Source organism: Homo sapiens, chromosome 2, assembly GCF_000001405.40.
Source record: "Homo sapiens chromosome 2, GRCh38.p14 Primary Assembly".
Lineage (NCBI taxonomy): Eukaryota > Metazoa > Chordata > Mammalia > Primates > Hominidae > Homo > Homo sapiens.
In genome coordinates, this window is record NC_000002.12 from 74,112,515 (window position 1) to 74,126,242 (window position 13,728).

Sequence of the window (13,728 nt, forward strand, 5' to 3'; positions counted from 1 at the left end):
AAGTTAACCAAGTTATCTAAAGCCAAATAAAAAGTTTTACTACATAAAAAACAATATGCAGATCTAAGGGTATAAAATTTTTTAAAATTATTTTAAAAAACAAATATTAAGAACTCAAAGACTAGTAATGAGTGCTTTGCAAGAAATACAAGAGATTAGACAGTGACTACAATCTACTTTCAAAAAGATTAAAAATACCCACAGCAGGCTGGGTGCAGTGGCTCACGCCTATAATTCCAGCACTTTGGGAGGCTGAGGTGGATGGATCATGAGGTCAGAAGTTCAAGACCAGCCTGGCCAACACGGTGAAAGCCCGTCTCTACCAAAAATACAAAAATTAGCTGGGCAAGGTGGTGCGTTCCTGTAATCCCAGCTACTCGAGAGGCTGAGGCAGGAGAACTGCTTGATATGGGACCCGAGAGGCAGAAGTTGCAGTGAGTGCAAATCTCACCACTGCACTCCAGCCTGGGCTACAGAGTGAGACTCCGTCTCAAAAAAAAAAAAAAAAAAAAAAAAAAAAACCCACAGTTAACATCTTACTGAATGGAGAAAAGCTGAAAGCTTTTCCTCTGAGAACTGGAACAAGACAAGAATGGCCAGGCGCAGTGGCTCACACCTATAATCCCAGCACTTTGGGAGGCCGAGGCAGGCAGATCACGAGGTAGTTCGAGACCAGCCTGGCCAACATGGTGAAACCCTGTCTCTACTAAAAATACAAAAAATTAGCCGGGCATGGTGGCACATGCCTCTAATCCCAGCTACTCGGGAGGCTGAGGCAGGAGAATCACTTGAACCCGGGACGTGGAGGTTGCAGTAAGCGGAGATCACGCCACTGTACTCCAGCCTGGGTGACAGTGTGAGACTCCGTCAAAAAAAAAGAATGTCCACTCTCATTACTCTTATTCAACGTAGTACTAGAAGTCCTACCCAGAGCAATTAGGCAAGAACTTGAAATAAAAGGCATCCAAATGGAAAAGGAGGAAGTCAAATTGTCCCTGTTTGTAGATGACAGGATCACATATATATAAAAACCTAAAGACTCTACCAAAGAACTCTTAAAACTGATAAATTCAGTAAAGTTGCAGGATAAAAAAAAAAATTACATACACAAATCAGCAGTTATTTCCATACATGTACAACAAACTTAGCTGAAAAAGAAATCAAGAAAGCAATCCCATTTACAGTAGCTACCAAAAAATAAAATAAAATACCTAAGAATAAATTTAACCAAGGAGGTGAAAGATGTCTACAAGGAAAACTACAAAACACTGATGAAAGATATTGAAGAGGATACAAACAAATGGAAAGACATCCCATGCTCGCAGATTTGGAAAAATTCATATTATTAACATAATAATACTACCCAAAGCAAGCTACATATTTAATGCAATCCCTATCAAAATACCAATGACATTCTTCACAGAAATAGAAAAAAAAATCCTAAAATTTGTATGAAACTACAAGAGACCTCAAATAGCCAAAGCAATCCTGAGCAAAAAGAACAAATCTGGAGGTATCACACTATCAGGCCTCAAAATATACTAAAAAACTGTAATAACCAAAACAGCATGGTACTGGCATAAAAATAGACACAAAGACTAATGGAACAGAATAGAGAACCCAGAAACTAATCCACATACTTACAGACAACTGATTGTTGGCAAAGATGCCAAGAATACTCACTGGGGAAAGGACAATCTTTTGAACAAATGGTGCTGGCTTATAAGTGGGAGCTAAGCTATGAGGACAGAAAGGCATAAAAGTGATATAATGGACCTTGGGGACTCGGGGGGGAGGGCTGGAAGGAGGATAAGGGATAAAATACTACATATTGGGTACAGTGTACACAGCTTGGGTGATAGGTGCACTAAAATCTCAGAAATCACCACTAAAGAACTTATCCATGTAACCAAAAACCACCTGTATGCCAAAAATTATTGAAATAAACAATGTGAATACACTTAATGCCATTGAATTGTACACTTAAAATCATAAATTTTATGTTCTGTATATTTTACCACAATAAAATTAAATCTCTTAAAAGTTAAAAAAGCAGGCTGGGCATGGTGGCTCACGTCTGTAATCCCAGCACTCTGGGAGACCGAGGCAGGTAGATGACTTGAGGTCAGGAGTTCAAGACCAGCCTGGCCAACATGGTGAAACCCCCGTCTCTACTGAAAATACAAAAAATTGGCTGGGTGTGGTGGCAGGTGCCTGTAATCCCAGCTACTCAGGAGGCTGAGGCAGGAAAATCGTTTGAACCCAGGAGGTGGAGATTGCAGTGAGCTAAGATCACACCACTGCACTCCAGCCTGGGTGACAGAGAGAGACTCTGTCTCAAAAAAAAAAAAAAAAAAAAAGATGCTGGGAAAACTGGTTATCTATATGCGAAGAAGAAAACTAGAATCCCACTTCTCACCCTATACAAAAAATCAACTCAAAATGGACCAAAGACCTAAATGTAAGGCCCCAAACAATAAAACTACTAGAAGAAAACACAGGGGAAATGCTTCAGGACATTGGTCTAGGAAAATATTTTATGAATAAGACCTCAAAAGCACAGGCAATAAAAAGCAAAAATAAGCAACTGAGATTATATCATACTAAAAGCTTCTGCACAGTAAAGTTGAAACAATCAGCAGAGTAAAAAGGCAATCTACAGAATGGGAGAAAGGATTTGCAAACAACTCATTCAATAGGGAACGAATATCCAGAATATACAAGGAACTCAAACATCTCAACAGCAAAAAAACGAAACAATGCTATTTAAAAATGGGCAAATGATTATCCTAAGTTTCTCAGGAACAGAAAACCAAATACCACATGTTCTCACTTATAAGCAGGAGCTAAGCCACGGGATAAAAAGGAATATAGAGAGGTATAACGGACATTAGAGACCAAGAAGCGGGGAGGATGGGAGACGACACGGAATGAAAAATTACCTATTGGGGACAATGTAGACTATTCGGGTGAACAGGTACGCCAGAAGCCCAGACTTCACCACTGTATGATTCATCCATGTAACCAAAAACCACTGTACCCCTAAAACTGTTGAAATATTTAAAATTTTGTTAATTTGGATAGAGCTAAAAAAAGAAAGAGGCCTAGTTGAGAGAAAAATTTAATGTTGAAGATGATTCAATGGAACATGTTAAAGGTGCATTTGCTTCTATAAATTAAAAATAAATAGATAAGCAAACAAAAAAATGTGCAAATGAGCCAGGTGCAGTGGCTGACACCTATAATCTCAGCATTTTGGGAGGTCAAGGTGGGCAGACTGCTTCAGCCCAGGAGTTCAAGACCAGCCTGGGCAACATGGCAAAACCCTTTCTCTACAAAAAATACAAAAAATTAGCCTCGCATGGTGGCACATGCCTGTGGTATCAGCTACTTAGGAGGCAGAGGTGGGAGGACTGGTTAAGCCCTGGAGGACACGGCTACAGTGAGATGTGATTGCACCACTGCACTCCAGCCTGGGCGACACTGAGATCTGGTCTCAAAAAAAAAAAAAAAAGGCTGGAGGGGGTGGCGGGGGAATAATCCGAACAGACATTTCTCAAAAGAAGACATACAAATGGCCAACAAATATATGAAAAAATGCCCAACATCACTAATCATCAGGGAAATGTATATCAAAACCACACTGAGATATCATGTCATCTCAGGATAGCTATTAACAAAAAGACAAAAAATAAATGCTGGTGAGGATGCAGAGAAAAGGGAACTCTTATACAATGTTGGTGGGAATGTAAACCTAGTTCAGCCACTATGGAAAACAGTAAGGAGGTTCCTCAAAAAGTACAAATCGAACTCCCATGTGATCCAGCAATCCCACTACTGGGCATTTATCCCCAGGAAAGGAAATCATTATATCAAAGAGATATCTGGGAGGGCACGGTGGCTCATGCCTGTAATCCCAGCACTTTGGGAGGCCAAGGCAGGCAGATTACCTGAGGTCAGGAGTTCAAGACCAGCCAACATGGTGAAATCCCAGCTCTACTAAAAATGCAAAAAATTAGCTGGGTGTGGTGGTGTGTGTGTGTGCCTGTAGTCCCAGCTACTCGGCAGGCTGAGGCACGAGAATTGCTTGAACCCAGGAGGTGGAGGTTGCAGTGAGCCCAGATAGCGCCACTTCACTCCAGCCTGAGCAGCAGAGTGAGACTCCATCCCAAGTTAAAAAAAAAAAAAAAAAACACTGTGTACCCCATGAATATGTACAATTATTATTTGTCAATTTAAAAAAATTAAAAGAACAAACAAAAAGATTAAAAAGAGCATCTTGCCAGGTGTGGTGGCTCGTGCCTGTAATCCCAGCACTTTGGGTGCGGCTAGGGGAGCTGTCAGCAGTCCATGGTGAGCAAAGCCCCAGCTGTGCATGAGACACTCCAGGGAGGGAGAAGGGGACTCAGACACTAAGGGGCTGGCAGGGAAGAGAAGCCAGGAGGGAGGTGAGCAGCAACCAGGGAACTCAGGGAAGCACCTCAAATGGGCAAGGGAGAGGGGAGCGGGGAGATGGGCAAGGGGTATGTGAAAGAACCCAGTGGGAACTCTGATTGGGAGCAGAAGAGGTGGTAAGAAGGGGTCAGATTGTGCTTGTGTTTTGAAGGTAAAGAGATAAATCAGGATTTGTTTTTGAATTGTAACCTCCACCTCCTGGGTTCAAGCAATTCTACTGCCTCGGGCTCCCAAGTAGCTGGGATTACAGGTATGTGCCACCATGCCTGGCTAATTTTTGTATTTTTAGTAGAGATGGGGTTTCACCATTTTAGCCAGGCTGGCCTTGAACTCCTGACCTCAGGTGATCCACCTGCTTCAGCCTCCCAAAGTGCTGGAATTACAGGCATGAGCCACCATGCCCGGCCTATTTTATTATTTTTTAAAGACAAGGTCTTACTTTCTCCCAGGCTGGAGTGCAGTGGTGCGATCTTGACTCACTGCAGCCTCTGCCTCCTGTGAGGCTCAAGTGATCCTCCTCCCTCAACCTCCTGAGTACCTGGGACCACAGGCATGCATGGGATTACAGACCTTTTGATCCTAAAAAATGTCAAATTTATAGAAAATTTGCACAAATGGTACAATGAGCACCCACATACTCTTCACCTAGATTCACCATTTTTTAGCATTTTTGTCATACAGTTGTCCCTTGAGCAACACTGGTTTGTCAAGAATGCATAAAATACAGGTAGATATTAGTCTATTTTATCATGTTCTACCATAAAATACACAAAATCTATTATATATATTTTTTTATAACGGAGTCATGCCCTGTCGCCCAGGCTGGAACGCAATGACACAATCTTGGCTCACTGCAACCTCTGCCTCCCGGATTCAAATGATTCTCCTGCCTCAGCCTCCTGAGTAGCTGGGATTACAGGCACCCACCACCACACCCAGCTAATTTTTGTATTTTTAGTAGTGACGGGGTTTCACCATGTTGGCCAGGCTGGTCTCGAACTCCTGACCTCGTGATCCACCCACCTCAGTCTCCCAAAGTGCTGGGATTACAGGCATGAGCCACTGCACCCGACCCACAAATCTATTATAAAAAATTAAAATTGATAAAAACCAAGTACCTGCTTTAAACACCTGTGACGCTAATCATCTCCACGAGAGCAGATACTATCACCAGTAAATTGCATACTATAGTAAAAAGTGATCTCTTGTGGTTTTCACGTGTCTTTCATTGTGTTTAGCACAACGCTGTAAATCTTGAATAACACCATGGCACCCACACGTAGTGCCTCTAGTAATGGTGGAAGTGCTCCCGAGAAGCAAAGTCAAGTCATGACATTACAAGAACAAGTTGAATTGCTTGATATGTACCATGGATTGAGGTCTGCAGCTGCAGTTGCCCACCATTTCAGACAGACGATTCATCTTAAAAAGACAATTGAAACTTACAGTATCAGTAAGCACAGTACGGTACTGTAAATGTATTTTCATTACGATTTTCTTAATATTTTCTTTTCTCTGGCTTACTTTATTGTAAGAATACAGTATATAATACATATAACATACAAAATAACTATATTATCAGTAAGGCTTCTGGTCAACAGTAGCCTATTAGTAAAGTTTTTGGGGAGTCAAAATGTATATGTGGGTTAGTCAGAATGCTTAACTGACATTGTTCAAAAGTCACATTGTATTTGCTTTTCTCTCTGAATACACATACACACACACATATATTTACATTTACATATATATAAACATATATATAACACATATATATGAACCATTTGGGAATTTGTTGCAGACATCAAGACACTTCTCCTGTAAATACTTTTGTCTGTATGTCCTAAGAACAGTCATTCTCCTTCATAACTACATAAAATTATTGCACCCAGGAAACTGATATATTATCTAATATTGAGTTCATATTCAAATTTATCCAACTTTTGCAATAATGTCTCTTATAATTGTGTTTTCCTCCTAAACCAAGACTCAAACCAAGATCCAGTCCAGAATCACACCATGCATGTAAGTTGTAGTTTCTTGACCCTTCTTTGATCTGCAGACTGCTGCCCTATCACTTTGTTCTTTCACAATATTGCCAACTTTTGGCTGGGTGCGGTGGCTCACGCCTGTAATCCCAGCACTTTGGGAGGCTGAGGCGGGATCACTTGAGGTCAGGAGTTTGAGACCACCCTGGCCAACATAGTGAAACCCTGGCTCTACTAAAAATCCAAAAATTAGCTGGGTATGGTGTCACGTGCCTGTAATCCCAGATACTTCGGAGGCTGAGGCAGGAGAATTGCTTGAACCGGGGAGGCGGAGGTTGCAGTGAGCCGAGATCGCACCACTGCACTTCAGCCTGGGAGACAGAGTGAGACTCTATCTCAAAAAAAAAAAAAAAAAAGATATTGCCATCTTTTAAGAACTCAAGTCAATTGCTTTGCAGAATGTTCCTCAATTTTGATTTGTCTGATTGTTTCTTCATTAATCAGGTTGAGCCTATTAGAAATACTACCCAGATGATGTGTGTTCTTCCTGTTCCTCACACCAGGAGGCACACAGTCTCAGTTTGTCCTATTACTGGAAATGCTAAGTTTGACTTTTGGCTAAGGCAATGTCCAGCAAATGTCTCCATTGCCTGAAAAATTTCCCCTTTATAATTAATAAGTAATCCAGGAGGTGTTACTTTAAGACTGTGTGAATAACCTATTCCCAGTCTTTCACCTAATAGTTTCAGCTTCCACTGGTGATTCTTGGCTGAATCAATTATTACCACGATTGCTGCAAAATGGTGGATTTCCAATTTTATAATTCCTATATTTATTGGTTGTCATTCTACTGTTTTGAAAAAGCATCTTTACTTCTCTCTCCTTTTATATTAATATTAGTGTAGTAGTTGTGGTAATATGAACCCATGGATTCTTTTTAATTGAATGTTTTAAATACTTGTCAAATTATACAAAATTCAACCAACGGCAGCCCCTTCAAACTTATTCCTGTGGCCTTTTGACATTCCTTGGGTGCTTCTGTTTTCTGTTACAGGCCTGAGGTGTCAGCAGGAAAGACGTACTAGTGGCCCCTGAAGCCCTGTTACCTCGGGCCTCTAGGACTTTCGATAGGCCGCCTCCCTTCTCTTAAGAGCCCACAGGTTGGACCTCCAGGTTCTTCCCTGGGTGCTCCCGGAAGGACGCTGCTTCGGGCTCCTCCCGGGGGAACTCCATTCTAGGCGCCCGGCTCCCGGCTCCCCCGCCCGCCCAACCCCGGAGCGCTCCATTCTCCTTGCCAGGCTGCAAACTCCGCCTCCGGTCGCTCTGGCCGACGGCCTCCACGGCGGCAGGGGGCGACCTCTCGGCAAGACTTTCCGCCGGGGTCCCAGCCCGGCAGGAGCTTCCGGAGAGATGGCGGGCGACGTCCGTACCTCTCCGTCTTTCCCTCCTGGGCTGGTGCCGTGGCTACGCCCCGGCCGCTCCACACACCTACCCGGGGGGAACGTGTGCCTGGGCCGCTGGAGTCGCGAATGGCCGGTTATTCACACGTTCAAGTACCCAAGGCAGGCGGCCCTGCAGGCGTCGTCGCGGGTTCTTCCGGCCATCTTGTTGAGGAGGGACCGGAAGGAGGAGCGGCTGAGGAGCCCAAGGAGCGGGGCGGCGGCCACTAGGAGCTCAGGAGGCAAGGGCGTGGCCGAGTGGGACCCACTTGCCTGCCTGGACCCAGAACTCTGGGATCAGTTTGACAACTTAGAAAATCGATAGTCTTGAGAAATTCATCATATCTGCCAAGGAAAGGACTGAGATTGAACTCAGCTATACAAAACAACTCAGGAATCTTTTAAAGACATGCCAACCTAAAAGGAACTGGAAGGAGAAAGAATACATTACGTAAAACTCTCCTTCCCTCCCTGTGAACAAAATGAGTGATCACGCTAGGCAGCATTAAGTTATCTTCTTTGAGGTCTTGAACTTTCAGATCACCGTGGAGTTACAAGGGCATGTTCAAAACCAAAAGCAGGAGAGGAAATCTCACTTTCATGATGCCCAGAAGGCACAACCACCGACAGAGACTTGATGGAAGCAACTTGAGGCAAGTAAAAGACAATTGAGATTATAAAAAGGCTGCTGAGCACATCAGTATTTTGAGAAAATGCCATATGTTTTAAAAACACGTTTTTAAAAGTCGATGTTGAAAAAGGCACACCACCAAGCTGCGAAAACATCACCAATGGCAGAAGACGGCAGACTACTCAATGAGAATTGAATTACTCATCAATTCAAGAAATTTGACACTGAGCTGCAGGAATTTTACCATCCTAATAGTTCCAACAACTTCCAGAAAATACAAGAGATAGAGGGAAAGAGGATAGTGAGAATGAGAGAATCAGTGAAGACATATGTAGCGATTGGGCAACAGGTGATAGCAATCAATAGGAGATGCTTGGAGAGAATAGTAAAGGCAACTGAATCAATGATCAGAAAAATGTCACAGCTGGTAATAAAAACTTTCAAGTCAGAGTGTGAGCCTCCTGGAGACATCTGAGGACTACACTCTGCCAATAAGGTGCTTGATAATAGTCTTTCAGATTTCTGAGGAGAAGGCAAACCAGGGTCAGCTGTGGTGGCAAATTGAAAGGAAACTTCTGGCTGTTCATAAAAATGTATAAATAAAGCTCCAAAGCAGCAAAAGGAACTGATTGGTTTAATGAGCTCGTTATCAAACCCAATATTGGCTGCTTCAAAAGTCTATAATGTAGGCTGGGCACAGTGGTTCACACCAGTAATCATCCCAGCATATTGGGAGTCTGAGGCAGGTGGATCAGTCGAGGTCAGGAGTTTCAGACCAGCCTGGACAACATGGTGAAACCCCATCTCTACCAAAAATACAAAAATTAACCAGATGTGGTGGTGCACACCTGTAATCCCAGCTACTTGGGAGGCTGAGATGGGAGAATCGCTTGGACCTGGGAGGTGGAGGTTGCAGTAAGCTGAGATCATGCCACTGCACTCCAACCTGGGTGACAGAGTGAGACTCCATCTCAAAGAAAAAAGTCTGTAGTGTAAGGGGTGTAACCCCAGAGGATGTTGGCAGTCTTCCACCTCAACTGAAAAGGAAAAAACTACAAGAGAAAGTCAATGAAATAAATACAGATGGAGATGGATCAAAGAAATGGCATAACAAAAATGAAAAACATGTACAAAAGAAATCTTCAAATGGGAGATACAGCCAGTTTGAGTCACAAATTAACAAAATTCAGACAAAAATATAGAAAAACAAGAGGCCCAGAAATTTGAAGTCTAGCTGCCTGAGGTTGAAGGCAGGCTCACACAATCAAGTGAACAGGCCTGACAACAGAGTGGAATGTACAAAAACCCAATCCAAAATCCCAGAGAGGTTTGCACAAGACTGGAAGGACTCAGAAGGCAGTTACATAGAGGAGCCAGTCAAGAAAGTGGGGTGAGGAGTTCTGGTTGTGGATTTTGATAGTGAAATATATATATGTGTGTGTGTGTGTGTATATATAAATACATACATATATATATATATATATATATTTTTTTTTTTTTTTTTTTTTTGAGATAGTCTTGCTCTGTTACCCAGGCTGGAGTGCAGTGGCTCGATCATGGCTTACTGTAGCCTCGACCTCCCAGGCTCAAGCTGTTCTCCTACCTCAGCCTCCCAAGTAGCTGGGACTAAAGGCATGTGCCACTACACCTAGCTTTTTTTTTTTTTTTTTTTTTTTTGCCACATGCCGCCACACCCAGCTAATGTTTTTATTTTTTATGGAGATGGGGTTTCACCTTGTTGGCCAGGATGGTCTTGATCTCCTGACCCTGTGATCGGCCTGCCTCAGCCTCCCAAAATGCTGGGATTACAGGCATGAGCCACCGTGGCCAGCCTAATTTTTGTATTTTTTATAGAGATGGGATTTCACAATTTTGCCCAGGCTGGCCTTGAACTCCTGGGCTCAAACGATCCACCCACCTTGGCCTCCCAGAGTGCTGAGATTACAGGCATGAGAAACCACACCCAGCCTTGATAATGAATTTGATAAGGAACTGCTTCCTGCCTTAGGGACTTGGAAAACCCTCTACATGTTTGAAGTTCAGAATGAAGGAATCATTTCAATAGTTGAAGCAAAAATATTGTATATTATAGAGGAAAATGAAGGTGCTGCGTGAATCTGCTTTTGGAAAAATGAAGATGAAAAGAGTTAAGTCCCTACTTTGTCAACATTGATTTGGACTAAAATGCCAAAGGTGCTAACATGTCAAATCGCTTGAATTCAGGCGGCAAAGATGGCAGTGAGCCAAGATCACACCACTCCACTCCAGCCTGAGCGACGGAGCGAGACTCTGTCTCAATGAATAAATAAATAGGCCACACGCGCTGGCTCACGCCTGTAATCCCAGCACTTTGGGAGGCCAAGGCGGGCGGATCACGAGTTCAGGAGATCAACACCATCCTGGCTAACATGGTGAAACCCTGTCTCTACTAAAAATACAAAAAACTGGACCCGGCCTGTGGGCGGAACCGACCAAGAAACACGCCAGCCAGGGCAGGGGCGTGCAGGAGGGATTCGGTAACCCCAGAGAGGAGTGGGAAATCAGGAAAGGCTGGAGTGCAGTGGCGTGATCTCGGCTCGCTACAACCTCCACCTCCCAGCCGCCTGCCTTGGCCTCCCAAAGTGCCGAGGTTGCAGCCTCTGCCCGGCCACCACCCCGTCTGGGAAGTGAGGAGCGTTTTTCTGCCTGGCCGCCCATCGTCAGGGATGTGAGGAGCCCTTCTGACCGGCTGCCCAGTCTGGGAAGTGAGGAGCGCCTCTTCCCGGCCGCCATCCCGTCTAGGAAGTGAGGAGTGTCTCTGCCCGGCCGCCCATCGTCTGAGATGTGGGGAGCGCCTCTGCCCCGCCGCCCCGTCTGGGATGTGAGGAGCGCCTCTGCCAGGCCGCGACCTCGTCTGGGAACTGAGGAGCGTCTCTGCCCGACTGCCACCCCATCTGGGAGGTGAGGAGCGTCTCTGCCCGGCCGCCCCGTCTGAGAAGTGAGGAGCCCCTCCGCCCGGCAGCCACCCCGTCTGGGAAGTGAGGAGCCCCTCCGCCCGGCAGCCGCCCCATCTGCGAAGTGAGGAGCCCCTCCGCCCAGCAGCTGCCCGGTCCAGGAGGTGGGGGGCAGCCCCCGCCCCGCCAGCCGCCCCATCTGGGAGGGAGGTGGGGGGCAGCCCCCGCCCGGCCAGCCACCCCATCCGGGAGGGAGGTGGGGGGGTCAGCCCCCGCCCAGCCAGCCGCCCCGTCCGGGAGGGAGGTGGGGGGTCAGCCCCCGCCCAGCCAGCCACCCCGTCTGGGAGGGAGGTGGGGGGTCAGCCCCTGCCCGGCCAGCCGCCCCGTCCGGGAGGTGAGGGTCGCCTCTGCCCGGCCACTGCCCCGTCTGGGAGGTGGGGGGCGCCTCTGCCCAGCCGCCACCCCGTCTGGGAGGTGTACCCAACAGCTCATTGAGAACTGGCCACGATGACGATGGCGGTTTTGTTGAATAGAAAAGGGGGAAATGTGGGGAAAAGAGATCAGATTGTTACTGTGTAGGTGTAGAAAGTAGACATGGGAGACTCCATTTTGTTCTGTACTAAGAAAAATTCTTCTGCCTTGGGATGCTGTTAATCTATAACCTTACCCCCAACCCCGTGCTCTCTGAAACATGTGCTGTGTCCACTCAGGGTTAAATGGATTAAGGGCGGTGCAAGATGTGCTTTGTTAAATAGATGCTTGAAGGCAGCATGCTCGTTAAGAGTCATCACCACTCCCTAATCTCAAGTACCCAGGGACACAAACACTGCGGAAGGCCGCAGGGTCCTCTGTCTAGGAAAACCAGAGACCCTTGTTCACATGTTTATCTGCTGACCTTCCCTCCACTATTGTCCTATGACCCTGCCAAATCCCCCTCTCCGAGAAACACCCAAGAATGATCAATAAATACTAAAAAAAAAAAAGAAAAAGGTTAAAAACTAAAAAAAAAAAAAAGGTGCTAACATGTATATTTAATACTACTCGGAATTTTTTTTCTTTTTTTTTTTGAGATGGAGTCTCACTCTGTCACCCAGGCTGGGGTGCAATGGTGCAATCTCAGCTCACTGCATCCTCTGCCTCCTGGGTTCAAGTGATTCTCCTCCCTCAGCCTCCTGAGTAGCTGGGATTACAGGTGCCTGCCACCTGCAGAGACAGGGTTTCACCATGTTGGCCAGGCTGTTCTCGAACTCCTGACCTCAGGTGATCTGCCTGCCTCGGCCTCCCAAAGTGCTGGGATTACAGGCGTGAGCCACTGCACCTGGCCTCACTTGGATTATTTTTTAATTGTGGCGCTGTTTCTCCCTACAACATGACTCTTACAGATAGCTTCAAAAGCCTGGCTGGATGGATAACACCATGGTACAATACACGTTTTCAGACAGCCACACAGTAGACTTTTAGGCATCATACACTTGAGTTTTCCTTGGCTAGTTTTGACTATAATCAAGTTTTTCATGCTGAGATGAAGCTTTACATGGAAAGCTGCTAACTGCCAATTTACAACTGTGTCATTTGAAATTCCATAAACATTTCTTCTTTTGGCAGCATTTATAAATAACAAAAAAGTTGTATTCTAGCTTCTAACCATCCTTTGTGAATAAGAAGTGTGGCATTGTGGAGGTACAGAAGACTTCAGCTCTCATATATAGTACCTGCCATAAATTAAAGTATGCTAAAATTTTTTTTTTTTTTAACTTTATAGAGATGAGGTCTCACTGTGTTGCCCAGGCTGGTCTCAAACCCCTAGCCTCAAGCAATCCTCTTGCCTCAGCCCCCTAAAGTGTTGGGATTACAGGCATGAGCCACCATGCCCAGCTGAATGTTATACTTTGTAGCTCAGTAAATTGAACTATGCTAGTTTGTTAAATTTTACCATTATTCACTTAGAGAAAATCACAAACAAAATTTAAAATCTCAATTTTCTTTGAGGCAAGGGTCTTGCTATATTGTCCAGGCTGGTCTTGAACTTGTGGCTCAGGTGATCCAACCACCTCAGCCTCTGAGTAGCTGGGATTCTCACCCTTTTTGAGTACAGAAGTAAATAAGTACTTGCACTAAAATTTTGTATTTTTTCTTAAACATGGTTAAGATTATTGTTTTCATCATAATTAACCTATCATGTCTATTTGATCCCATAGAGCCAATTGAAATCTGGAGAAATTTGGTCAGTTAACCTGTTGGTTTTTATATATGGCACCAACTGATCTCTACCAGATTGACACAGT

At 44.9% G+C, this 13,728-nt stretch overlaps 1 protein-coding gene and 1 pseudogene across 2 annotated transcripts in view, besides 2 other annotated features; both read left to right on the forward strand.

The window, feature by feature from the left end:
* Positions 1 to 13,728, forward strand: part of TET3 (tet methylcytosine dioxygenase 3) — a 151,868-nt gene that overhangs the window by 128,884 nt on the left and 9,256 nt on the right. The gene's annotated exons all lie outside the window — the stretch shown is intronic.
* Positions 7,756 to 8,115: an enhancer, noted in NCBI's record as "active region_16045". NCBI's record gives its function as "activates an Ori minimal core promoter by ATAC-STARR-seq in GM12878 lymphoblastoid cells {active_cell/tissue: GM12878}" and the evidence as "EXISTENCE:reporter gene assay evidence [ECO:0000049][PMID:35858748]".
* Positions 8,005 to 9,302, forward strand: FNBP1P1 (formin binding protein 1 pseudogene 1; annotated as a pseudogene).
* Positions 11,059 to 11,761: an enhancer, noted in NCBI's record as "H3K27ac hESC enhancer chr2:74350700-74351402 (GRCh37/hg19 assembly coordinates)". NCBI's record gives its function as "activates a minimal SCP1, AML or CMV promoter by ChIP-STARR-seq in primed H9 embryonic stem cells {active_cell/tissue: H9 hESC(primed)}" and the evidence as "EXISTENCE:reporter gene assay evidence [ECO:0000049][PMID:30033119]".